Consider the following 27,845-nt stretch of genomic DNA (forward strand, 5'->3'; position numbering starts at 1 on the left):
ATATCATTTAAAGGGACCACATTCTTCCCTTCTGAGCCCTTCCCTTCTGTATCACAAAGTGCTGGGATTATAGGCATGAGCCACTGGTCCCAGCCAATTCCATTCTTTTAATGCAAACTAGAAAATGGGTGTTCAGAAAGGCCTGCCCTATCCATCTCAGGGAGTTGCTATGAAGATCAAATTAGATCATGTGCAACAGAAGTTTAGAAAAGATTCCAAAAGCACTGTGCAATGGGAATGTATTTTTAAACTCCACTGAGTGGACTTAAAACTATGTTTTTTTTTCTTTCTTTCTTTCTTTTGTTTGAGACAGAGTTTCACTCTTGTTGCCTAGGCTGGAGTGCAACGATGCCATCTTGGCTTACTGCAACCTCTGCCTCCCAGGTTCAAGTGATTCTCTGCCTCAGCCACCCGAGTAGCTGGGATTGCAGGCGCTCGCCACCATGCCTGGCTAATTTCTTTTTCTTTTGTTTTTGTCTTTTTAGTAGAGATGGGGTTTCACAGTGTTGGCCAGGCTGGTCTTGAACTCCTGACCTTAGGTGATCCACCCACCTTGGCCTCCCAGAGTGCTGGGATTAAGGCTTGAGCCACCGCACCCAACCTGTGTTTCTTTTGTAAGCAAGAAAACAAATGCCTCTCCCCAGCGCTCACTAAACAAATCCCTCTGTTTGTTTTTTTTTTTTCCATAGGATTCTTATCCTTCTTGCCCCACTGCAAACAATCTATTCTCTTTTGGCCCTTCCGTCCATCTGTGAAAGGGTCAGGCTTTCTGGCTAACCCTTAATCAAATATTTTTATGACCACAGTCAAGAGAGTACTTCCTATTTTTTTTTTGAGACGGAGTTTCGCTCTTGTTGCCCAGGCTGGAGTGCAATGGCGCAATCTCGGCTCACTGCAACTTCTGCCTCCACAGTTCAAGTGATTCTCTTGCCTCAGCCGCCCAAGTAGCTGGGATTACAGGTGCACAACACCATGCCCAGCTAATTTTTGTATTTTTAGTAGAGATGGGGTTTCTACATGTTGGTCAGGCTGGTCTCGAACTCCTGACCTCAGGTGATCTACCCACCTCAGCCTCCCAAAGTGCTGGGATTACAGGGATGAGCCACCCCTGACTCATCCAAGACAGTGCTTGTTAATGCCTGAGATGCATCCAGGAGCACATGAGCTGGCTGTGACTGTTCTAACAAAGTTCCCCAAATGGGTGGCTCAGGACAACAGAAAGTCATTCTCTCCAGTTCCAGAAGCTTGATGTCTGAAACGGGCAGGGCAGTGCTCCCTCTGAAGGCTCTAGGGATGAATCCTTCCTTGCCTCTTCTGGCTTCTGATGGTTGCTGGCATTCCTTGGCTTGTGGCCACATCATTCCATTCTCTTCCTTCATTCTCATGTGGCCTTCTCCCCTGTGTGTCTCTGTCTCTTCTTCTCTTCCCATGAGGATGCCATTATTACTCGATTTAAGGTCCACGCTATTCCAATATGACCTCTTTGTAATTAGATCTGCAGAGACCCTATTTTCTTTTCTTTTTTTTGAGATGGAGTCTTGCTCTGTTGCCCAGGCTGGATTTCAGTGAAACAATCTCAGCTCGCTGCAACTCTGCCTCTGGGTTCAAGTGATTCTTCAGCCTCAGCCTCTGAAGTAGCTGGGATTACAGGTGCATGCCACCATGCCTAGCTAATTTTTCTGTTTTTAGTAGAGACGGTTTTGCCATGCTAGCCAGGCTGGTCTCGAACTCCTCACCTCAAGTGATCCTCCTGCCTCAGCCTCCCAAAGTGCTAAGATTACAAGCATGAGCCACCATGCCCTGCCCCTATTTCCTAATAAGGTCACATTCTGGGATTCCTGGTGAATGTGAATTTTTGGAGGACAGTATTCAGTCTAGCAAAAGGCAGAACATCCTCATTTTGTTCCCTACCTCAGAAATAAAGAAGTTAACTTCGACCCCTCTGAGAGAGAGAGGCTTCCCAAGCTTCCAACAATCAATTATCCAAATATTAGTCACAGAAGAGCACTAAGGGTTGTGCACAGCACGTGGCCAGCCCGTTCTCAGAGTCCGTCAAGTTTAAGGTGAACGCTAATCCTGAATGAGTTTTAAAATGTATTTGGCATATCCTGGTCATTGTAAAATGTTCTCACATTGTGGTGGCTGGGGCTTCCCTCTCAGGTGTAATCTGTGAAGTCAGATGTGACACAGCCTGGGTGAGGTGGGCCAAGCTGGGAACTGGGTTAGGAGGGAAGCTGGGGAATGATCTCCAAGGTCTCAGATCCCAAACTGGCTTTAGCCTGATTCACCCAGAGGGATCTCATAAAAAATGCACATTCCGGGGCCCACCCCAGACCTAATGAATCAGAATTACCTGGGAAGGAGCCTGGGGTGCTCTGTTTTCAGAAGCAGCCCAGCCGAATCCTACGGTCAGACAGGTCTAGGAAACCGAGCTCACTCTAGCGCAGTAGTTCCCAAACTCGTCTGTGCTTCAAAAAATACAGATGCTGATGTCCAGGCATGGTGGCCCATGCCTATTGTCCCAGCAGTTTGGGAGGCTGAGGCGGGAGTATCGCTTGAGGCCAGGAGTTTGAGACCAGCCTGGAGAACATAGGGAGATACCGTCTCTATAAAAAAATTTAAAAATTAGCCAGGTGTGGTGGTGCCCGCCTGTGATCCCAGCTACCGTGGAGGTTGAAGTGGGAGGGTTTCTTGAGCCCAGGAGTTGGAGGCTGTAATGAGCTATAATTGTGCCACTGCACTCCAGCCTCGGTAACAGAGCGAGGCCCTGTCTCAAAAACAAAACAAAAAACGGATGCTATGTCCCATTCCAGAGGTTGAGCTTTAATTGTTCTTGGGTGTGGCCTGGGTTTTGGAAGATTTAAAAAAAAATCCCAGGTGACCCTAAAGTGTAGATGAGTTTGGAAACCACACCTTTAAGGCACACTTGAATGGGGGAGAAGTGAGGTGGCGCGGGCTAGCCGGCCAGAACCCAGGGGTGGGGCAGTAGGAACCAGCATTGGAGAGGCCATGAAGGCTGGGAAGCATAGTGTCTGGGGCCCATAAAAATGCTTCGGCATGAATGCTTTAGACCTAAGACAATTGGCTCCTAAATGTGAAAACTGCAAGGTTGAAATGAATGCATGTTTAATGCTTTGCAACATTGTCAAGTGGTCAGCTGCAACGCCGTTCTGAGGGCGTGATGCCTGAGATATGCCTGTCATGGGGGTTGATTTTAGTGAATTTAATATGGTGTGGAGTGGGGCCTTCAAGAGTAAAGATGTCAGTTCTAAGTTGGTTGCAGGGGTCTGGGCAAAGGTCTTAAAACCCCATGGTGAGCAGATGGCCAATCCTGAACACCCCAATTTTAAAACAGGACCTTTTTTCCAAGAGACTTTTTGAAAATAGCTCCGATTTTGAGGGGAGGAACCCTGGCAGGAGAGAGCCAGAATTAAGCCCAGCTGAGAGGGCGTTGGCAGGCAGGGGCCCGCCTGGTCCTCACTGAAGCTTGCTACTCAGGGTGAGCTTCCTAAACCAATGCAGATTTGCCGGCCCACTGAGCCTCGCGATGAGAACCTGCATTTCAACAAGGTCCTCGGTGCAGCAAAGTTTGAGATATACTGGGCTAGAACACCCAGGGGACACAAAGGTTCCCTGAAAACTAAGGAAAATAGGCAGGGTGTGGTGGCTCATGCCTGTAATCCTTGTATTTTGGGATGCCAAGGCTGGCGGATCACCTAAGGTCAGGAGTTTGAGACCAGCCTGGATCAACATAGTGCAACACCATCTCTACAAAAAATACAAAAATTAGCTGGGTGCGGCCGGGCAAAGTGGCTCATGCCTGTAATCCCAGCACTTTGGGAGGCTGAGGCGGGCAGATCACGAGGTCAGGAGATCGAGACCATCCTGGCTAACACGGTGAAACCCTGTCTCTACTAAAAATACAAAAAAATTAGCCGGGCGTGGTGGCAGGTGCCTGTAGTCCCAACTACTCGGGAGGCTGAGGGAGGAGAATGGCATGACCCTGGGAGGTGGAGCTTGCAGTGAGCCGAGATTGTAACACTGCACTCCAGCCTGGGCAACAGAGCCAGACTCTGTCTCAAAAAAAAAAAAAAAAAAAAAAAAAAAAATTATCTGAGTGAAGTGGCAGGTACCTGTAGTCCCAGCTACTTGGGTGGCTGAGACAGGAGAATAGATTGAACCTGGGAGGCGGAAGTTGCAGTGGCCCGAGATCACACCACTGCACTCCAGTCTGGTGGCAGAGTGAGATTCCATCTAAAAAAATTTAAAAAAAAATAAATAAATAAAAAATAAACATTAATACTGGGCTAGAAGACCCAGGAGACCCGAAGATTCTCTCAAAACTAAGGAAAATAATCTAGGTCACAAGTATATTCTCTTCCTCCTTCTCCCCATTGCCCCCCTCCACCAGTAATCTTTATAGACTCAAATCGAGTTGATGTTCTATAATCAATTCTAGTCACTTTTATTTATATTTATTTATTTTAGAGATGGGGGTCTCACTATGTTGCTCAGGCTGGTCTCAAACTCCTGGGCTCAAGTGATCCACCCACCTCGGTCTCCCAAAGTGCTGGGACTACAGGTATCAGCCACTGCACCTGGCCGTCACTTTTATTTTTGATGTTCAAATTATAATCTAATGCCTGTGAGACCACAGATTCTTTTTATGCACTCAATACATTTTCCTGTTTACCTTACATTTGTATTATGGAAAAATTCTGTTTTTTCCACTTGTTTCTATTTGATAATGAAGCCCTCTGTGCTTATCACCAGCCTCTGCCGCCATCATCTCATTACCAATCTGGGTTATTTTGAAGCAAATATCTTCTAATATTTAGCCGGTGTTCAAATTTCCCTAACCATCCTAAATGGATGTTTAGAATAGTTGTTTCATTGGAAACAAGGTCAAAACAAATACATTTTACATTTTTAGGCCAGTCTTGAAAGTAAGTGTAAAACCATGTGTGGGGTAGGAGGTGGGACTAGTCTCTCAAGGTGGGGCCTGGATACCAGAACCAATTGAGGACTAGCTAAGACAGATTCCACAATGAATAACACCAGGAGGTGGGAATATTAAGGTCCATTGTGAAGGATGGCTGCCACAAATTTTTGATCAACTAGTTATCAACCCTGACTGCAGCTGAGAGAGATTTGTTTTTGCTTTTTTTTTTTTTTTTTTTTTTTTTTTTCAGAGACAGGGTCTTGCTCTGTTGCCCAGGCTGGACTCAAACTCCCGGGCTCAAGTGATTCTTCTGCCTCAGCCTCCTGAGTAGCTGAGACTACAGGTGTGTGCCACTGTGCCCAGCAAGATTTTAAAAAATACGTTTGCCCGGACACCACTCTAAACCAACTAAATCAGAATCAGATATAGTGAAGTCATTAATCATTTTGCTCCTGGGTCTTTATGATAGTTTTGCTCCTGGTAAACTCCTGGGAATGTGGTAGAGAGAGAGAAAGAGTTGGGAAAATAAGATTTTAAAAGTGTTGCTATGCATTTTGAAAATAATTTTTCTTTGGTGTTTGTCTTGAGGATCGGCGGTAAACATTTCGATTGCCTTTCAGTATGCTTGCATGCTGGAATGATGGTTCTTTGAATGTAGCATCGAACTGGCATTGGGCCACATGGCAGCCAGCGTGAGGCTTTATGCCACATTTATTAAACATGAATGTCATGAGCCCACTCTCAGGGACCTTACAATTTGGAGGGTTAGGTCAGATCCACAAATCTCTTCCATCTCATGGTAAAGGAAACCTGGCGCGTAGCAGGAGATGGCGTGATAACCATAACATATTGCATGATCAATATTTGTATCTTCTTAGCAATATTAAACTCTTTGACCCCCGCCATTGTGTCATCAATTTGCTTAATACAGTTTCTGCCTCAGCATCGGTTTTTAGGCCTGGCATAAGCTGTTTGAAACCCAGGCACGTACCCCACCCATCATCTTTGGCCTAGTTAACACCTCCCCTCCCTGAGTGGTGGTTTGGAGAACCTGCTTGTTCCTCATCCCACTGATCCCAAACCCAGGACACCCCACAGCTGCTGACCAGGATTAAACCTAATGGAGATTTAATGCCGTTAAATCAGAAGAAATTCTGATTCTCAGGGACTGACATTCATTCACTTAAATACTTGCAGAGTCAGCCAGGTGTGGTGGCTCACACGTGTAATCCCAGCACTTTGGGAAGCCGAGGTGGGTGGATCACGAGGTCAAGAGTTCGAGACCAGCCTGGCCAACATGGTGAAACCCTGTCTCTACTAAAAATACAAAAATTAGCTGGTGTAGCTGTGCGTGCCTTTAATCCCAGCTACTCAGGAGGCTGAGGCAGGGGATTTGTTTGAACCTGGGAGGTGGAGGTTGCAGTGAGCCAAGATTATGCCATTGCACTCCAGCCTGGGCAGCAGAGCAAGACTCTGTCTCAATAAACAAAAAACCCAAAAACTTGCAGAGTGAATTTAGGAAACCATGAAGTCCACAGTTTGATCCAATGCCTTCCTTTTTCTCTTTCTCAAATATTTTGAGCCAGGTACTATCCTAGATTGTCTTGTGATATTTACAATCTAGGAGAAGGCAGGAGAGAGAACTAAGAACAGAGAGCATGTTCTGAGATGTCTGCTGTGTTTGCAGGTACCTTCCCTCAATTTCCCTACTCACTGGCCATGCTGGAAAGCAGGTCTTGGCGCCATATTTGTACCATGGTACTTCCCCTCCCTATACTCAATTGGTTGGCCAGAAGCCCAATTGTCATTCTCTCTCTCTCTCTCTCCCTCTCCCTCCCTCCCTCCCTCCCTCCCTCTCCAAGATATCCAGTAACTGACTGATCAGCTGGCGGTGGGCTCTGCTGGCTGCCATGATGGGCCACCAGCAAAAAGGGAAAATTGGTTGTGAGTGAGAAGAAGAGATAAGAAAGTCCACAGGGCTCATAAGAAAGACCATGGGCTTCTGGGCACGGTGGTTCACGCCTGTAATCCCAGCACTTTGGGAGGCCAGGATGGTCGGATCACGAGGTCAGGAGATCGAGACCATCCTGGCTCACACGGTGAAACCCCATCTCTACTAAAAATACAAAAATTAGCTGAGTGTGGTGGCGGGTGCCTGTAGCCCCAGCTAATTGGGAGGCTGAGGCAGGAGAATGGCGTGAACCCCAGGAGGTGGAGCTTGCAGTGAACTGAGATCACACCACTGCACTCCAGCCTGGGCGACAGAGGGAGACTACGTCTCAAAAAAAAAAAAGAGACCATGGGCTTCTGAGAGCAAGAAAGAGGAATTTTGGTTTCTGTAACTGCAGTATCCATTCTCTCATGGCCGCTCATTTGTTTCTTGTGCCCATGAGTTTGCCTGTTAGAGATAAGGTGTGCTCCTTGTCCTCAAGCTCATGCAAATGGGTTTCTGTTTCTTACAATCATTGTTCCCAGATATGGATGGTGACTGATGCTCTACTAAATGCTGAAAAAAAGCAGAGTGGAAGCACAGAAAAGTGGGCTTCTCTGAGGAGGTGACATTAGAGCCCAGTTGGAAGGCAGGAATAAATGTGCACCATGATTTTTTAGGATTAAAACCAAGTACCTCACAGCTTGGGCACATGTAGATAGAGGTGATTTAACAGTAAAGTGTCCCAGTTGTACCCATTGTCAGTTACCTCACCACAGGGTTTATGTAGCCCTGAGTTTGCTTAGTGCTTATTTATTTTAGGTTGTTGTTTATCCAAACCTCTTAAATGATATGTGTTTGGAACAAGTAACAGCATCGTTCATTGATGTTGTGGACAAACCACTATTTTATTACTCAAGACTGAGTAATTTATAAAGAAAAAGAGGTTTAATGGGCTCACAGTTCCATGTGGCTGAAGAAGTCTCGAAATCATGGTGGAAGGCAAAAGGAATGTCTTACATGGTGGCAGACAAGAGTGATGAGAGCTATTTTGGTCATTGTTCGCTGGCCATAGAATTTACTTCTATATTTTGAACTAAGATGAGAGCCAGGCACACAAGACGGTTACAGGTCTGTCTTTTGTTTTTGATGATGATGATGATGATGATGATGATGATGATGATGAAATGGTTGACATGGGTGATGACTTGCTTTTTCTCATCATCTCAGACCTAGATTTTTGGCTGGACTATTGGCTTGGGATAGATGAAAATCATTCCTTGTATCCCCTGATCTTAAAGTCAAGACTGAACCAGCCTCCAGACTCAAGCCTTCATGGGACTTCAGATACCATGAGGAATGGGTGTCCCTGCAATATTGTCATGGCTGTCAAAAGTGTTATTGGAGCTGGGCAAGTGGGCGCTCTCCTGTCATTCCATCCTGCCTAGATTTCCCATTCAACACCAATCTTATTTCCTTTTTTTTTTTTTTTTGACAGAGTCTCGCTCTGTCTTCTAGGCTGGAGTGCAGTGGCGGGATCTCGGCTCACTACAGTCTCCACCTCCCAGGTTTAAGTGATTCTTGTGCCTCAGCCTCCCACGTAGCTGGGATTGCGGGTGCACACCATCAAGCCTGGCTTATTTTTTTGTTGTTGTTTTTTTGTTTGTACTTTTAGTAGAGACAGGGTCTCGACATGTTGGCCAGGCGAGGCTTGAACTCCTCACCTCAATTGATCCACCTACCTCGGCCTCCCAAAGTGCTGGGATTACAGGTGTGAGTCACCGTACCTGGCCCCATTTCCTCTTATACCATAAGTCATTGCCTGCAGATGTGTTTTCTCCATTAGTTTGCAAAAGCTTCCTGAGAGTAGGTCTGTGCCTCATTTATTCTGGAATCTTCCTGGCACAAAGCACAGGGCTTTATCTTCAGTAGGCATCCAACAAATGTTTAATTTCATTCAACAGCTCCTCTTACCACTGCCTCCACCTTAATTGCAGGTGGTTAAGTACAATCGGAGCAAGGAGGTATCATAAGATTTAGTTCAGAGTCAATTTGAGAAGAAATTACTTTAGTGATATGAAAATAAAACCTGCTATTTAGTCAGAATAGTTCTGAGAGTATCCCCTGTCCAAGCATTTGCTGAATTTCTATGTACAAATTTTCAGGTGGAACAGTATGGTTGTAGAGAGTCCATTTGGACATAGATACACTTTCATGCATTCATGTCTTTAACAATAATTTATGGCCCTACTGTGTTTGTTCACTAACTCCTTTGAACCTACCACATAAGCTATATCTGTATTTTCATTGTAATTTGGGAGGTCCAATGCTTCATTAAGCTCACATGCCTGAAACTAATGAAGAAAATAGCTCGTTAACCAGCTAGTATAAAAGTAGCCACCAAATCAAGTCAATCACCTGCCTTAAATCAGCCCAGTACTCCCATCTTGAGCAGAGAAGCCCATTCTGAATCACAGTCAAGACATTGATGGAAAAACAGCTCCCTCTGGGGATCAAAACCACGCTCACTCCAAATCCTCCTCCCCAGATTTCTACTCATTGCTCATCCACTGAACCCAGAACAAACCAGAAGTGCTTGAAATGAGGACGGGTAGCTCCGTGTACCAATCGGAATTTAAAACTCTATCAATTCCTGCTATAGAAATGAGGCTTCTCCCTGGGACCAGCATTCCACGAAGGCAGCCCTTTTCTAGATGGAGAAAACAGAACCTGAAGACACCCGTTTCCCTAAACTGCTCTTGCTCATGTGTAAGTACAAATGAAAAATGCTGAGGCTGCTTCTGTTGCCATTGCTTTTTAATTACGGCCATCAATAAATCATTTCATCCTTGAACAAGACTTGAGAATGACCCGAAGGCAGAGGCACAATTCCTTAGGAATTAGGCCAACAGAGAATGGGCTATCTCTCTTCCCACCCCTTCTCTTACTCTGCTGTCAGAAACAGAAACGTTCTCTGTGAGTAGCTGGGAGTAGACGGCCACACTTGAGATCCGTCTGGGGGTTCGGTTAACACAGTTTTACCCCAGCCTGCCTTGATGGCCACTGCCACACAAGCTGCATCTGTTCTTTCTTCTGTGCCTTTTTTTACTTCGTTGTTTTTCCTCTTTCTAGTGTAGTGAGCTGAAAGGTGGCTTTGCACAAGATATATCCAGATCCTTGTGCCTAGAATCTGTGGAGGTGGCATTATTTGGAAAAAGGGTCTTTGCAGATGTAATTAAGTTAAGGATCTTGAGATTCTCCTGGAGTAATTTAGGTCGGCTATACATCTAAAGACAAATGTCCTTATAAGAGGACACTTTTGTCCGGGCGCAGTGGCTCATGCCTGTAATCCCAGCACTTTGGGAGGCCGAGGCGGGTGGATCACCTCAGGTCAGGAGTTTGAGACCAGCCTGACCAACATGGAGAAACCCCATCTCTACTAAAAATACAAAATTAGCCGGGCATGGTGGCGCATGCCTGCAATCCCAGCTACTGGGGAGGCTGAGGCAAGAGAGTTGCTTGAACCCAGGAGGAGGAGGTGGCAGTGAGCTGAGATCATGACACTGCACTCCAGCCTGGGCAACAAGAGTGAAACTCCATCTCAAAAAAAAAAAAAAAGGACACACTTTTTCATGCGCGTCCGTGTGAAGAGACCACAAAACAGGCTTTTTGTGAGCAATAAAGCTGTTTATTTCACCTGGGTGCAGGTGGGCTGAGTCCAAAAAGAGAATCAGCGAAGGGAGATAGGGGTGGGGCCACTTTATAGGATTTGGGTAGGTAAAGGAAAAAGGGGGGTTCTCTGGCAGGTAAGAGTGGGGGTCACAAGGTGCTCAGTAGGGGAGCTTTTGAGCCAGGATGAGCAAGGAGAAGGAATTTCACAAGATAATGTCATCAGTTAAGGCAGGAACAGGACATTTTCATTTATTTTGTGGTGGAATGTCATCAATTAAGGCAGGAACCGGCCATCTGGATGTGTACATGCAGGTCACCGGGGATATGATGGCTTAGCTTGGGCTCAGAGGCCTGACGTTCCTGTCTTCTTATATTAATAAGAAAAATAAAATGAAATAGTGGTGAAGTATTGGGATGGTGAAAATTTTTGGGGGGTGGTATGGAGAGATAATGGGTGATGTTTCTCAGGGCTGCTTCGAGCGGGATTGGGGTGGCATGGGAACCTAGAGTAGGAGAGATTAAGCTGAAAGAAGATTTTGTGGTAAGGGGTGATATTGTGGGGTTGTTAGAAGAAACATTTGTCATTCAGAATTATTGGTGATGGCCTGGATATAGTTTTGTATGAATTGAAAAACTAAACGGAATAAGAGAAGGAGAAAAACAGGTATTAAAGGACTAAGAATTGGGAGGACCTAGGACATCTAATTAGAGAGTGCCTAGGGAGGTTCAGCATAGCCTTGCCAGCAAAGATTATTTAAGAGTTAAGAGTGGTGGTTTGGGGATACCACCAGGAGATATCAGCTGTGATGGCTTGGAGAAACAGTGTAAACCACCAGTGTAAACAAGAGCAGGGCATATATGAGTAGTTGAGAACGGTGAATCTCTTCTAGACAGAAGATAGTAGGGATGACAAGTTTTTTGGGGCACAGTCCAAGTTGGTCTTGTGTCTGGAATGAGACTGGGGCCTAATAAAAAGGAGTGTCTATACAGGAGATCCAATGGGTATCGGGGGACCTGCCCCGATAATCACGTAGGTTCTTTTCTATTTTCCTAAGCGTCGACTGGCTTGAGAAATAAAAGGACAGAGTACAAAAGAGAGAAATTTTAAAGCTGGGCGTCCGGGGGAGACATCACACTTGGGTAGGATCCGTGATGCCCCACAAGCCACAAAAACCAGCAAGTTTTTATTAGGAAGTTTCAAAAGGGGAGGGAGTATACGAATAGGTGTGGGTGACAGACATCAAGTACTTAACAAGGTAATAGAATATCACAAGGCAAGTGGAGACAGGGCGAGATCACAGGACCACAGGACCGAAGTGAAATTAAAATTGCTAATGAAGCTTTGGCACCATTGTCATTGATGACATCTTATAAGGAGACAGGGTTTTGAGATCAACCGGTCTGACCAAAGTTTATTAGGCAGGAATTTCCTCTTCCTAATAAGCCTGGGAGTGCTATGGGAGACTGGCGTTTATTTCACCTCTGCAATCTCGACTATAAGAGAGAGGTACGCTCCGGGGGGGCCAGTTCAGCGACCCACCCCTAGGTGCGCATTCTCTTTCTCAGGGACGTTCCATGCTGAGAAAAGGAATTCAGTGATATTTCTCCCATTTCCTTTTGAAAGAAGAGAAATATGGTTCTGTTCTGCCCGGCTCACCGGCGGTCAGAGTTTAAGGTTATCTCTCTTATTCCCTGAACAATTGCTGTTATCCTGTTCTTTTTTCAGGATGCCCACATTTCATATTGCTCAAACACACATGCTGCACAATTTGTGTAGTTAACGCAATTATTACAGGTTCCTGAGACGATATACATCCTTCTCGGCTGACAGGATTAAGAGATTAAAGCAAAGACAGGCATAGGAAATCACAGGGATATTGATTGGGGAAGTGATAAGTGTCCATGAAATCTTTACAATTTATGTTTAGAGATTGCAGTAAATAAAGGCAGGCATAAGAAATTACAAAAGTATTAATTTGGGGAACTAATAAATGTCCATGAAATCTTCACAATCCACGTTCTTCTGCCATGGCTTCAGCCGGTCCCTCCGTTTGGGGTCCCTGACTTCCCGCAACAAATGGGCTGTACCTTGTAGCATTCTGAGGACAGGCCTGAATTCTGAGAAGGGAAAGTGGTAAAAGTATTGTCCAGTCCTTTTTAAGTTGGTGGCTGAGCTTGGTAAGGTGTGTTTTTAAAAGACCATTAGTCTGTTCTACCTTTCCTGAAGATTGAGGACTGTAAGGGATATAAAGCTTTCACTGAATACTAAGAGCCTGAAAAAATGCTTGGCTGACTTGATTAATAAAGGCCGGTCTGCTATCAGACTGTATAGAGGTGGGAAGGCCAAACTGAGGAATTATGTGTGACAGAAGGGAAGAAATGGCCGTGGTGGCCTTCTTAGACACTGTGGGAAAGGCCTCTACCTATCCAGTGAAAGTGTCTACGTAGACCAAGAGTTATTTTAGTTTCCTGACTTGGGGCACGTTGAGTAAAGCTAATTTGCCAGTCCTGGGTGGAGGCAAATCCCTGAGCTTGATGTGTAGGGAAGGGAGGGGGTCTGAAGAACCCTGAGGAGTAGTAGAATAGCTGATGGAACACTGAGAAGTTATTTCCTTGAGGATAGATTTCCACGATGGAAAGGAAATGAGAGGTTCTAAGAGGAGGGCTAGTGGCTTGTACTGTAGCATAGCCTGCTTTTGCTGGTGTGTGGCAATTAGGCCTGGTGGAACTGCCATCAATAAACTAAGTGTGATCAGGGTGAGAAACAGGGAGGAAGGAAATGTGGGGAAATGGGGTGAACGTCAGGTGGATCAGAGAGATGCAGTCATGAGGGTCAGGTGTGGTATCAGGAATAATGTGGGAGGCTGGATTGAAGTCCGGGGCAGGAACAATGGTAATTGTGGGAGACTCAACAAAGAGTGAGTACAGCAGAAGGAGCCGGGGAGCAGAATGTATATGTGGCAGGTGTGAGGAAGAAAATAGATTTTGGAAATTATGAGAGCTGTAGAGAGTGAGTTGAGCATAGTTTCTGATTTTAAGGGCCTTTAAAAGTATTAGGGTGGCAGCAGCTGCTGCACGGAGACACAACGGCCAACCTAAAACAGTAAGGTCAAGTTGTTTGGACAAAAAGGCTACAGGACGCGATCCTGGTCCTTGTGTAAGAATTTCAACTGCACAGCGCTGCACTTCGGCTGTGTGTAATGAAAAGGGTTGGGATGAGTCACGGAGAGCTAGTGTAGCAGGACGAGTTCCAGACAAAACTCCTCAGACACCGGATTAAAGAAGGAAGAGGTTTTTTTATTCCACCGGGAGCATAGGCAGACTCATGTCTTAAGAGCCGAGCTCCCTGAAAAAGAAATTCCTAGCCCTTTTAAGGGCTGACAACTCTAAGGGTTCTACGTGAAAAAGTCACAATAGATCAAGTAAGCATGAGGAACGTGACTGGGGGCTACATACATCAGCTAACAGAACAAAAAGTTTTTACAGTGCTTTCTCATACAATGTCTGGAATTTACAGATAACACCAATAGTTTTGGTCAGGGGTTAATATTATTGATATTTTAACCACCAGGGCGAGGTGGTGGCGCCGAGGTCGTCTAGCTATTTATTTTACTTCTGTTTTTTCCAACTTTTTGCTTTCTCCCTTTTTTGCTGTCTTACAAACTAGGGAAAAGGGGAGGTTGGGGAGAAACTGGGAAGGACAACAGGAGAAGTGGTGGCCTCACACCATATTTCCCTCCTTTGAGCATTTTCACCTTTTAGTGGGAGTTCTCACTCTCATTTTTACTTTTTGAGTCTATTTGTGAGATAGAGCGATAGTGATTTATATAACACACGTGTGCTGAAGTTTTTCTGATGAACCAAAGTAGCTACAAAACCTTTTATCATTTGAAAAAGCAAGGGTAATACACAGGGGAGCAGCAAGCAGGTTCCTATCACTAGCAATACACCTACAATGAGGGTTTTCAATCCTCCTATAGCTGGAAACCATTTTTCAAATTAAGACTCAGGATTAAACTCGTGCCAAACCTGTACAGGCACATGTGCCACCTTTGTCATGTCCCTGACTGTGTTTTTAACCACCTGTCCTTGATCATTTATTTGTAGGCAGCAATTGGTTAAGTTAAATTTTCCACAAACTCCTCCTTCAGCTACTAGCAAGTAGTCTAAGGCCAGTCTATTCTGATAGATAGCATTCCTCATTTGGGTTTCTTGCCAAGCTAAAACAGTCAAAGCTCTGCCAGTTTCATTAGTAATTATTTCTAAGATGGCCTGCAACCGTATGATCCAATTGAGCATGTAGATGGGGTTTCGGTATCCCCATGAGCCGTCTTGTGCCCATGTGGCAGGCCCATAATACTGAATGATCCTTTCAGGGGGCCACTCATTATCTTTCCAGTTTCCTATAACTATGCCTTTCTTTTCTCGGGAGGCGTAGACAGGAAAACCTAGGAGCTCACCCATTTTTATGGGTAATAAGAAAAAGGATGGCTTAATAGTGCCAATAACACAACTGCCTGCCCATTTATTAGGTAACCGAATGTAGGCTCTGTGCCTACATATCTAGTATAGTCCAGAGGGAACAGTCCAGTCCTGATGAGATTCTGGATGAGCCTAAGCAGTTTTTAATTTAGAAAATTTACTAAATGGATTCTTTTCAGTGTGGTTTAGTCCCTACTAAGTAATTGTCTTTGTTGTGCTGTTATACAACTTCTGTCCTACACAATTAAGCTTTCCTAAAGGGATGATAAAGTCTTTCCCTTCTCTAGCTATACAGTATTGTCTAATAATTGAGGTTTTTAGGACCTAGAAGTTGCTAGATTCTGCCTTCTAACTGGAATTATATCAGGAGCTGGATCAGTAGACACCAACTCTCGGGCTTCCCAAGGCCATCTGTCTCCGATAGTGGTTCCTCCGCGTACATAACAAGAAGTAACATTAAGTAAGAAAATTACATTTTCTGCTAATTGGAGAAACAAATTTTTTGTCTTTTTCAGAAGTTATGGTGCTGGCAGATTCAGCTCCTCATAAAAGGTTTGAAATACTGGTTTGGGAGAGCACTTGTGGACCTCCCCTCTAATTAAAATGGCAACTTGAGGGTTTAACCCTGTCCTATTGATCCCCAGGGTTACACGTTCTCCCTTTTTCCAATGGGGATCTAGGGGATTGGTAATTATTAGTTCTAGTGGGTTACAGTGACCGGCAGCACAGGAGGGGTTGACTTCCCCCTTCCGAAGATAAACCGGGTCCTTTTTGTTCTTTTTTTAAGTAGCCTAAATAACACATGTCCAATAGGCACAATTTTTACAAACCCCTGACTCATGACAAACATATTTATTTTCTACTCTTTAGCTCCTTTCTCAGTTAAGAGAACCACATCCTATTTCTAGCTTTTTACTATTAATGGCTGCACAAGCATCAAATCTTAAAGTTGTTTGCTTGGGGATTTCCTTTTCTTCTGTTCTAGTTATTATTTTACTTGTATCACCTAGGAAAAGGCCAGTTCTTCTTCTTATTTCAAAAACGGTGGTTGCAGCGGGCTCAGATGGGTTATAACACGCATCAGGTCGGTCATTTCTCGGGGTACATACCTTGCACTGAGTGGCATTATACAAACAAGTTTCTTTTATTGTTTCCATACATTCATAATAACTATAGAACAGAAAGATTGCTTTAATTTGCTGTCCTACTTCAGTGACCTGTTGAATACACTGGGAACAGTCCCCAGTTTGAGTAAGGTCAGTTGAAGCCCTTACTGTATAAGTCCAAAATTTAAGAAAAATGAATCTCACGATGAGCTTCCTCATGCTTTGGCTGTGCGTGGACCAGTCAGCTTCCGGGTGTGACTGGAGCAGGGCGTGTCGTCTTCTTCAGGGTCGCTCTGCAAGGGTTGTCTGGGCTTGGTCTTGCCTCCCAGGTTTCAGGCACTGCAGGTTTTACATGGCTGTGGTGGATCCAAGCTGGGATTCCTTCTACCTTCACAGCGGTGGGAGTGCTCAGGACGACAGTCTGGGATCCTTTCCACAGTGGACACAAAGAGGCTCCGTTCCAGTTCTTGATCCACACTCGATCATCTGGGGAGAAAGGGTGAACTGGGGAGAATAAGCTAACAGGGCATCTCTCATTTACCCAGGCTGAGATTGTTTGTGTAATTTTTCCTAAGGCCTGTAGCTGTTGCTGTAACTCAATTTCACCTAACTCTCAGGGAGTGCCTGGAAGTCCCCGCAATATAGGAGGGGGCCTATGATATAATATTTCATAAGGGGAATATCCTGTTCTTTTAGAAGTGGTACATCTAATTTTAAATAATACCATAGGGAGAGCCTGTATCCATTTTAATCCTGTTTCCTGACATACTTTCCCTAAACTATTTTTGATAGTTTGATTCATTCGCTCCACCTTTCCGGAACTCTGAGGCCAGTAGGCAGCATGCAGTTGCCATGTGATCCCTAACATCTTTGCCCCCTTCTGTACTAAGTCAGCCAAAAATGCCGACCTGTTATCTGAGCCGATCCGTAAGGGCAGTTCAAATCTAGGAATAAGATCTCAAAGAAGCACACGAGTTACTTCACGAGCTTTCTCAGTTCGTGTTGGATAAGCCTCCACCTACCCAGAGTAGGTACGCCCAAGAACTAGTAAATACTTGTTACCTCTACACTTTGACATCTCTGTGAAGTCCACCTGGAGATCTTCAAAGGGGGCTGCTCCATAAGCTTGTATGCCGGGTGGAACGGCTGGACCTTGCCTCGCATCATGCTGTCGGCAGGTAACACACCCCTGCCTCACCGTTTTGGCAAGAGCTGACAAATGCGAGATGTAGAAATACCAGCCTAACAACTTTCCAAGTGACTCCTGACCTCGATGGATGGTTTCATGCACAGCCAGTACAACTGCAGCTCCTAGCAGCTGTGGCATAGCTTCTCTCCCATCCGGTAACCGAATTCATCCTTCCTCCATCACTTGTTCTCTGCCTGGAGAAAGTCCTTTTCTTCTTTAGAATAAGTGGGTACAAGATCAGGTGCTTGAGGGAGCATGGGGGCTGTGACTGATGCCCGGAAGGGGGCAGATGCTGCTTTTCGAGCCTCCAAGTCAGCGCGGGAATTCCCTAAAACCACCAAGGTGGAAGCTCGCTGGTGTCCTCTGCAATGCATAACTGCCACCTTGTGGGGTCTCCATACGGCTTTTAATAATTGCAAGATTTCTTGCTGATATTTTATGTCTTTTCCCCCAGAGTTCAATAGGCCCTTTTCTTTATATAATGCTCCACGCACTTGAAGGGTTGAAAAGGCATATTGAGAGTCAGTGTAAATGTTGACATTCTTAGCTTCACTGGGTTCTAAGGCCCGAATTAAAGCAATGAGTTCAGCTTTCTGAGCTGAAGTGCCCTGGGGAAACGATCTGGCTTCAGCAACAGTGTCCAGAGTTACCACCGCATATCTTGCACATCTCTCTCCTTGTGGGTTGATGAAGCTGCTCCCAGCCCCGTATAGTTCCTAGTCTACTGATGCCTAAGGCTGGTCCTGGAGGTTAGGTCTGCTAGAGTAAACTGAGTCCAACACTTCTTCACAGTCATGCTCGAGAGGGCTCTCTGATACTGGGAGCAAGGTAGCGGGGTTCAGGGTGTTACAAACTTCAATGGTTACACGGGGATTTTCACAGAGCAAACTTTAGTACTTAGTGAGTCTAGCATTCATTAGCCAATGATGTCCTTTAGTATTCATTAAAGTCACCACAGCATGGGGGGGGTCTTTATGTTCAGGTTTTGTTCAAGAGTCAGCTTATCTGCTTATTGTACTAGCAGGGCAGTTGCTGCCAAGGCCCTTAAACACGGGGGCTATCCTTTAGAAACCCCGTCTAGTTGTTTAGAGAGGTAGGCCACCGGCCTCAGCCAGGGACCCACAGTTTGGATTAAAACTCCAACTGCCATCTTTTCTCTCTCTGACACATACGATGGAAAAGGCTTTGTTAGATCAGGTAGCCCCAGGGCTGGGGCTGATATAAGTCTTTCCTTTATCTCATGAAAGGCTTGCTGTTGCTGGGATCCCCATTCAAAAATTCCAGGTCCCCCCTCCTTTGTGACCTCATAGAACGGCTTGGCTAATACTGCAAAATTTGGGATCTACAGTCTGCAAAACCCCACAGCCCATAAGAATTCTCTCCCCTGCCTTCTGGTCTTAGGCTCCGGTAGATTTCAAATGACCTGCTTTCTTTCTGATCCTAGGCTGCTCTCCCCCTTTCGGATAGTAAATCCTAAGTAATATACCTGCTGTCGGCAGATCTAAGCTTTTTTCTTGGACATCTTGTACCCAGAGTCCTCCAGGTGCCGGAGTAGAGCATCTGTTCCTTTGGTGCACCCGACTGCCATGGGGTGTCCCAGCAAAAGGTCATTAACGTACTGGAGCAACACGCAGTCTAGGTCTCTGGTGGGAAACTTCTGGAGGTCTCGAGGCAATGCCTCCCCGAAGATGGTGGGGGAATTCTTGAACCCTTGGGGAAGCCCAGTCCAAATGTACTGAGTAGTGACACCTGACTCCGGATCTTCCCACTGAAAGGCAAACAGCTTCTGCCTCTCAGGGGCGAATCTGATGCTAAAGAAGGCGTCTTTCAGGTCCAAGCAGGTGAAGCAGCTGTCCTCAACTGGCAGCAACCCCAGCAATGTGTACGGGTTAGGTACTGCTGGATGTAAAGTCACTGTAGCCTGATAAACCAAGCGCAAATCCTGTACCAGCCAGTAGTCCTTGGTCTTAGGCTTGGGAACAGGCAGGAGGGGAGTGTTCCATGGAGACTGACAAGGAACTCTAATTCCAAAAGTTCTTAGGTGCTTGAGATGGACCTGGATACCTTCAAGAGCTTCTCTGGGGACCGGCTCCTGTTTTTGCCTAACCGGCTGGGCCCTAGGCTTAACTTCTATAAGTACGGGGGCTTGGTTGACTGCAAACCCTGGAGGATTGTCTTCTGCCCACACTTTTGGCCACCGCTTAGCCAGAGCTGGTCTTATCTCTTGGCCCCACTCAGTTGAGAAAAGTCTCCATTCTTCTTCTCGGGGGACCGTAAGGGTCATAATGACTCCCATTCTGGGTAACTTTAGCAGCAAAGAGCCATGCTCTGTAAAAGAGATACTGGCTCTCAGTTTGCTAAGCAAGTCCCTTCCCAAAAAGCGCAAGGGACAGTCAGGTGTGTACAAAAACTGATGAATCACTTTATGTCCTCCTACAGCACAAGTCCGAGGCAAGCAGAAAGCTTGCTATGCTGAAACTCCCTTGGCTCCGATGATGTCAATAATCTTTTTGGATAAGGGGGTGACCAGGGCGGTTACTACCGAATGTTTAGCACCGGTATCTACAAGAAAATCAATGTCTTACCCCTAACTGTCATCCTGACCATAGGCTCTTTGGGGGTCCTTGAGCCCAGTCCCCCTCAGTCCAATAACCCTTCTGCCAGGTTGAGCAGGGCCCCTTCATCCTTGTCCGGGGCCTCCTGCTCTGAGTCACCTGGTTTTCTTTTTAGCTGAGGGCATTTGTTTTTCCAATGTCCTATTTCTTTACAATAAGCACACTGATTACGCTGCAAGCTCTGACAGCCAGGCTGAGTTTCCTTCCCGGGGCCCCCCTTCCCTTGCCTCTTTGTGGGGGGCCCCTCTGATTGCTGCCGCTCACAGGTCGGTGTTTCGCTGGGCCTGACATTCATTGTCTCTGTGGTTTTCCTTACGACTTACTGCATCCCTGTTTACAAATGCCTGGTTAGCTATTTCTAATAACTGTGATGTGTTCATCCCTGCAAACTCAGCCTGTTTCTGCAGTTTTCTTCTAATGTCTTCTGCGCTTTGACTAACTAAAGCCATGTTAATCATGCCTTGATTTTCAGGGCTATCGGGATCAAAGGGAGTATACATACCATAGGCCTCACACAGTCTCTCCTACAATTGTGCTGGACTTTCTTCTTTTCTCTGAATGACCTCAGAGACTTTGCTAACATTTGTGGCCTTCTGGGCTCCCCTCTTTAATCCTTCCAAGAGAGCTTCCCTGTCTCTGTTTAGCCTTTGCATATCCTCTCTTTCATGTGGGTCCCACTGGGGGTCAGTTCCTGGTAACTGGGTCCTTACATACTCTTGGGGTTTTTGGTAATCAGCTGGTGCATGTTCCTCTAGCCACTTAGTTGCTGCTTGGAGCACTCTCCGCCTTTCATCTGTGTTAAAGAGGAACATGAGCAACTGGTGGCAATCAGCCCAGGTGGGGTTATGGGTCTGGATAATAGTTTGGAGCAAATCAATCAGAGCTGGTGGCTTTTCGGTACAGGATGGGGTATTGTTTTTCCAGTTGAGAAGGTGGGCAGAGGTGAAGGGCTGGTACGCAAAAACACGCCTCCCCACCACGTGACCATCCTCATCTATCCCAGTATACTGCTGCTCTCTCAGGGGCATTTGTGTCCCCGTTTTGGGTCTTAAACGAACTGCCAAGGGAGGGGTTTCTCCCGAGTCCTCACCTCCTCTCTTATCTACTCTGGGTGGCCTAGGGATATGTTTGTCTTGTGGAGGCGCAAGCACTGTGGACTCAAAAGTGGGGAGCCTGCCTCCCTGGTAAGGAGAGGGCACCACTGGGATCACTGGTGCCATCTCCTGCAGTGGATCTTCTGAAGTTGGGTCGAACAGAACTTCAGGAGTTGATTTCCCTCTGCGGGTGGAGCGGGATCCTTCCTTGGCTATCTGTCACTTTGCTACTAGCACTGCTGCTGCCTGCCCTCTTAGCCACTGTGGGGGGTTTAGCATCAGCTGTAACCAAGTGTCTATGTATGGAAACTGGTCTGAGTGTGCTGACTTACCAGTTACATTGTGCCATACCTTAGAAACAAGGGACCTGTCCAGGCTTCCTTCTGATGGCCACCCTACTTCTAATGTTGGCCAATCTATTTCACACAAAGTTCTAAGTTCCCCAAAGTCTCCATTAAATCCTTTCTTAAAATTTTTCAACATAGTTCCCAGCAGAGTAGGCTTACTTTGTATCTGACCCACGTTTCCTCGAGACAAAACACCAAGCTCACACCACACGCACACCACAGAACAAAGAATGGGTAAGAAGGGCACACACACACTTTTTCAGTTTTCACCAAACCAGAATCAAAACCAAAATCAGAGTATCCAGAAATCCAAGCCAGGTCAAACCAAAACCAAAGTATCAAGCAATTCAAGTCAAGTCAAAAACAAAAACCAAAGTGCCAGTACAGGCACACCGTGGGTGATCAGGCCACGCTTCCACTCAAATGGAGTGGGCAAGTTCCAAAGACCAGTCTTACCAAGTTTCAAATGTCCGGACTCCAAGTGCCTCTTCCTTCCCTGTGTTCAGCCACTGTGTTGATCTTCCATGGGGGCCTACCACACACTGCTTTGACGAGGCATTCCTCCGGGGCAATTGCCTACCCGGGAGAGCTCTCAGGATCCGCGTCGCTCAAGCTGGCCGGAGTCCCCCTCAGGGATGCTCCACAGGGCAGGCCTAAGCCACCTAACGGGCTGCCTTGACTTTCCGTCAATTACCTCGCTTCCCGGTCAGGGAACCAAGACTAGGGTGGGGGCAGTCTTTAAAGCTGTCTTCAAGGAACAGAAAGAGGAGTGGGGAAAGGATTTAGGATCTATGGGGTCAGCTAGGTTTCCTTTTGTGAGTTTATATAATGGTTTTGTTAGGATGGCAAAACCAGGTATCTAAAGATGAAAGTATCCAACCATGCCCGGGAAGGAAAGGAGTTGTTGTTTTGTAGAAGGGGTTGGGGTTTGAGAGATTAGTCACACACGATCGGCAGGGAGAGCACGTGTGGTTTTATGAGAATTATGCTGAGATAGGTAACACATAAGGAAGAAATTTGGGCTTGACTGAAGTAATGGGGGCTGTCTGTGAAGCTTTGCGGCAGTACAGCCCAGGTAATTTGCTGAGCCTGATGGGTGTCAGGGTCAGTCCAAGTGAAAGCGAAGAGTGGCTGGGATGAAGGGTGCAAAGGAATAGTAAAGAAAGCATGTTTGAGATCCAGAACAGAATAAGGGGTTGTGGAGGGAGGAGTTGAGGATAGGAGAGTATATGTGTTTGGCACCTTGGGGTGGATAGGCAAAACAATTTGGTTGATAAGTCATAGATCCTGAACTAACTTGTAAGGCTTGTCTGGTTTTAGGACAGGTAAGATGGGGGAATTGTAAGGAGAGTTTATAGACTTTAAAAGGCCATGCTGTAGCAGGTAAGTGATAACAGGCTTTAATCCTTTCAAAGCATGCTGTGGGATGAGATATTGGCATTGAGCGGGGTAAGGGTGATTAGATTTTAATGAGATGGTAAGGGGTGCATGATAGGTCGCCAAGGAGGGAGTAGAGGTATCTTCTACTTGTGGGTTACGGTGGGTGGCAATGAGATGTATCTGTAGTCCGGGAATAGTCAGGGAAGCAGATAGTTTAGTTGAAGTGTCTCGTCTTAATAAGGGAACTGGGCAGGTGGGGATAACTAAAAAGGAGTGCTTAAAAGAGTATTGTCTAAGTTGCACCAGAGTTGGGGAGTTTTAAGAGGTTTAGAAGCCTGGCTGTCAATACCCACAACGGTTATGGAGACAAGGGAAACAGGCCCTTGAAAAGAAGGTAATGTGGAGTGGGTAGCCTCCGTATTGATTAAGAAGGGGATAGACTTACGCTCCACTGTGAGAGTAACCTAGAGCGTCTGTGATGGTCCTGTAGGCTTCCGAGGCGATCGATCAGGCAGTGTCGGTCTGCAGCTGCTAAGCCAAGAAGATCTGGGAAGGAGTCAGTCAGGGAGCCTTGGGCTGGAGTCCCAGGGGCTCTGGGAGTGGCTGCCAGGTGAGTTGAACAGTCCGATTTCTAGTGGGGTCCCGTACAGATGGGACATGGCTTAGGAGGAATCCCGGACTGCAGGCATTCCTTGGCCTGGTGGCCAGATTTCCGGCACTTGTAGCAAGCTCCTGGGGGAGGCGGTTCTGGAGGAATGCCTGGCCACTGCGCTTTAGGCGTTTGGAAGCTCTTGTGTGCTGGAGATGTGGCTGGGGTTTGTCTCACAGTGGAGGCAAGGAATTGCAACTGAGAAATATGTTGCTACTTGGCTGCCTCTACTCTATTATTGTACACCTTGAAGGCGAGGTTAATGAAGTCCTGTTGTGGGGTTTGAGGGCAGGAATTTAATTTTTGGAGTTTTATTTAACGTCGGGAGCAGATTGGGTAATAAAATGTATATTAAGAATAAGACGGTCTTTTGACCTTTTAGGGTCTAGGGCTCTAAAACATCTCAGGGTTGCTGCCAAACGAGCCATGAACTGGGGTTTATTTTTATATTTGATGAAAAAGAGCCTAAACCTTATCTGATTTGGGATAAAGAAAAAGGAGCATTAACTTTGACTATGCCTTTAGCTCCAGCCACCTTTTTAAGAGGAAATTGCTGGGCAGGTTGGGGAGGGCTTGTCATGGAACGAAACTGTCAGCCGGACCCAGTGTGAGGAGGGGAGGTGATAAAAGGATTATAGGGTGGAAGAGCAGAGGCTGAGGAAGAATTCAGGCCTAGCTCAGCCTGGCGAGGAGGGGAGAGGTCAGATGGGTCTGTAGAAAAGGAAGATTAGAAAGAGTCAGCGATGCTTGGGGTTGGGACTGAGGGGACAGGTGGGATGGAAAGAAGGAAGATTTGGGATGAGTTGCACTGGGAACAGACTAGGGAGGGACCGATGTGTAAAAGAATGCCTGGACATCAGTCACCTCAGACAATTTGCCCATTTTATGACAAGAATTATCTAGATCTTGTAGGATGGAAAAATTGAAAGTGTCATTTTCTGGCTATTTGGAACCACTGTCGAGTTTGTATTGGGGTCAAGTGGCATTGTGGAAGAAAATAAGGCATTTAGGTTTTAGGTCAGGTGTGAGTTGAAGAGGTTTTAGGTTTTTAAGAACACAGGCTAAGGGAGAAGAAAGGGGAATGGAGGGCGGAAGCTTGCCCATAGTGAAGGAGGCAAGCCCAGAGAAAAGAGAGAATAGAGACATGAAGAGAAGGGGTGGGGCATTCTTGCCTTCCAGAAAAGTGGGAAACGGGTTGGGGCACAGAAATAAAGGGTTGGGGTGCAGAGATAGGAGGTCAGGTTGTGGAAATAAGGGATCAGGGCACAGAGGTAAGAGGGTGGGGCATGGAAATAAGGGATCAGGGCACAGAGATAACAGGTCGGGGTTCCTGGGCCTCCCTCAGAAAAGCGGGACTTGCTGCTAAGGGTGAAGGACCAAGGCAGGCAGCCCTGCGTGGTCTGACACCTCTGAAACCTGGGTGAATAATCAGAGAGGCGTCCCTGCAATGATTAAACACCAAGGGAAGGCTGCCTTCCCTAGTCTGTGACCGGCACCGGAGTTTTGGGTCCATGGATAAAACGTGTCTACTTGGTCTCTACCAGAAAATGAAAGGAATTGAAATTAAGAGAAGGGAGAGATTGAAGTGTGGTGCCAAGATTGAAAGGAGAAAGAGGTTGAGGGATAGTAAGGGAGGTTGGAGAAGAGAGTAAAAAGAAGCTGCTTCCCAGATTTGAAATTGGTGAGATGTATCTTGGGCTGGTCAGTCTGAGGACCTGAGGTCATAGGTGGATCTTTCTCACAGAGCAAAGAGCAGGAGGACAGGGGATTGATCTCCCAAGGGAGGTCCCCCAGTCCGAGTCACAGCACCAAATTTCACATGCATCCGTGTGAAGAGACGACCAAACAGGCTTTGTGTGAGCAATAAAGCTGTTTATTTCACCTGGGTTCAGGTGGGCTGAGTCCAAAAAGAGAGTCAGCAAAGGGAGATGGGGTGGGGCGATTTTATAGGATTTGGGTAGGTAAAGGAAAGAGGGGGTTGTTCTCTGGCAGGAAGGGTTGGGGTCACAAGGTGCTCAGTAGGGGAGCTTTTTGAGCCAGGATGAGCAAGGAGAAGGAATTTCACAAGATAATGTCATCAGTTAAGGCAGGAACTGGCCATCTGGATGTGTACATGCAGGTCACAGGGGACATGATGGCTTAGCTTGGGCTCAGAGGCCTGACACTCTTCCTCCAGAGGAGGAGACCCAGACAGAAGAGGAGGAGGCAAGGTGATCACAGAGGCAGAGATTGGATCATGCAGCCACAAGTTGAGGAATTCTAGTAGCCTCTATAAGCTGGAAGATGCAAGGAATGGATTCTCCCCTAGAACCTCTGAAGAAGCATGCTCCTGCTGACCTTTGATTGATTTTGGACTTCTGGCCTCCAGACAATTTTTTTTTTTTTTTTTTTTAGACAGAGGCTTGCTCTGTTGCCCAGTCTGAAGTGCAGTGGCACAATGTCAGTTCACTGCAACCTCCACCTCCCAGGCTCAAGCCATTCTCTTGCCTCAGCCTCCCAAGAAGTGGGGAATACAGGTGCCTGCCCCCATGCATGGCTAATTTTTGTATTTTTAGTAGAGACGAGGTTTTGCCATATTGGCCAGGCTGGTCTCAAATTCCTGGCCTCAAGTGATCCACCCACCTCAGCTTCCCAAAGTCCTGAGATTATTTAGGTGTGAGCCACGGCACCCGGCCCAGACATTGTTTGAAGCCACCCATTTCATGGTTCTTTGCTGCAGTGGTTGTGGAATATGAATGCACTCGTGCTGTTGGTTAGACTTTGCTGACCTTGTGTCTGTTATTCCCTGGCAGTTCTACAAGGCCTGGAGCTGATACGAAAAACCTCCCTTCTTTCCCAAATGCTCCCCAGCTTCCCCGTTCACTGAAGGCCCTGCAGTCAGGAACAGTCAGGACTTTGCACCCAGTTGTTGTGGGTGTTTGGCCGACTCTTCCTCTTGTGTGATTCATGGACCCTCAGCATTGCATCACCTAGGAGCTTTTGGAATTGAAGACTCTCAGGGCTCACCCGGAAGGACCTCCTGGGCCAGAATCTGCATTTTAACAAGATGCTCAGGTGATTTGCATACACGTTCAGATCTGAGAAGCGCTAATAAGGGAGACTTTAAGGTGGTAATTAGATCTTTTCTCCACCTGCAAGAATCTTAGTTTCTTCATGTTAAATCTATTAACTGTGGCAATGTAATGGAGGTTATAAAACAAAACAAAATCCTTACATCAAGAATGCACCCTGGTGTGTTATGGATGTGGGTGAAATGAAGTGTCTGGAATTTGCTTTAAAATATCCTAAAATAGCAAGAAGGAAAAGAAAAGTGGAAACTGGAATGAGATTGGAGAAATATTGACAAGTTCTTGCAGTGGGATGATGAGTGCATGGGGGTTCATGGTGTAATTCTCTCCCTGCTTTTTATGCATATGGGAAATTTCCATAATGAATAGTTAGAGGTCGGGCACGGTGGCTCATGCCTGTAATCTCAGCATTTTGGGAGGCTGAGGTGGGTAGATTGCTTGAACCTAGGAGTTCAAGACCATCCTGGACAACATGGTGAAACCCCATCTCTACTAAAAATGCAAAAATTAGGCATAGTGACAACATGCCTGTAGTCATGTTGAGGCACAAGTTTGAGACATGAGAATCACTTGAACCCAGGAGGCAGAGGTTGCAGTGAGCCAAGATCGCACCATTTCACTCCAGCCTGGGTGACAGAGTGAGACTTGGTCTCAAAAAAATTTTAATTTTCTTTTTGTTTTTGAGATGGAGTCTTGCTCTTTTGCCCAGGCTGGAGCGTAGTGGTGACATCTTGGCTCACTGCAAGCTCCACCTCCCGAATTCACTCCATTCTTCTGCCTCAGCCTCCAGAGTAGCTGGGACTATAGGCACCCAGCACCATGTCCGGCTAATTGTTTGTATTTTTAGTAGAGATGGGGTTTCACCGTGTTAGCCAGGATGGTCTCAATCTCCTCACCTCGTGATCTGCCCACCTTGGCCTCCCAAAGTGCTGGGATTACAGGCATGAGCCATCGTGCCCGGCCTTAATTTTGTTTAATTTTTTTCTTTTTTGAGACAGGATCTGTAACCCAGGCTGGAGTGCAGTGGTGCGATCCCGGCTCACTGCAGCCTCTACCTCCTGGGTTCAAGCGATCCTCCCACCTCAGCCTCCCAAGTAGCTGAGACCACAGGCATGTATCACCACACCTGGCTAATTTTTTCCCTTTTTCTAGAGGCAAGGTCTTGCTATTTTTCCCAGGCTGGTCTTGAACTCCTGAGTTCAAGCAATCTTCCCACCTCAGCCTGGGAGTAATCCCAAAGTGCTGGGATTACAGGTGCGAGTCACTCTACCCAGCCTCAACTGTTTTTCATGACTCCACTTTTTCTCCCCTCTTGGAAATGAGTAGTCTTTGAGGGAATGTCTTTTTTGTCTCAATCTCTGGTTTCTTTAC

General features: G+C 46.3%; 1 long non-coding RNA gene across 1 annotated transcript in view, besides 2 other annotated features; it reads left to right on the forward strand.

Moving 5' to 3' along the window:
• The window catches only part of LOC112268090 (uncharacterized), a 51,420-nt gene extending 24,498 nt beyond the window's left edge, over nucleotides 1-26,922 (forward strand). Inside the window, exons 6-7 of the long non-coding RNA XR_007063199.1 lie at nucleotides 9,535-9,641; nucleotides 26,199-26,922. This is a non-coding gene — a long non-coding RNA (uncharacterized LOC112268090). The remainder of the gene's footprint in view (nucleotides 1-9,534; nucleotides 9,642-26,198) is intronic.
• Nucleotides 11,785-12,594: an enhancer, noted in NCBI's record as "NANOG-H3K27ac-H3K4me1 hESC enhancer chr12:8432901-8433710 (GRCh37/hg19 assembly coordinates)". NCBI's record gives its function as "activates a minimal SCP1, AML or CMV promoter by ChIP-STARR-seq in primed H9 embryonic stem cells {active_cell/tissue: H9 hESC(primed)}" and the evidence as "EXISTENCE:reporter gene assay evidence [ECO:0000049][PMID:30033119]".
• Nucleotides 16,068-17,267: an enhancer, noted in NCBI's record as "MED14-independent group 3 enhancer chr12:8437184-8438383 (GRCh37/hg19 assembly coordinates)". NCBI's record gives its function as "activates an origin of replication core promoter dependent on BRD2, BRD4, P300/CBP and CDK7 cofactors, and independent of MED14, by STARR-seq in HCT116 cells {active_cell/tissue: HCT116}" and the evidence as "EXISTENCE:reporter gene assay evidence [ECO:0000049][PMID:35650434]".
• Nucleotides 26,923-27,845: the final 923 nt, after the last annotated feature.

The sequence above is a fragment of the Homo sapiens genome, chromosome 12 (assembly GCF_000001405.40).
Source record: "Homo sapiens chromosome 12, GRCh38.p14 Primary Assembly".
In the NCBI taxonomy this organism is placed as follows: domain Eukaryota; kingdom Metazoa; phylum Chordata; class Mammalia; order Primates; family Hominidae; genus Homo; species Homo sapiens.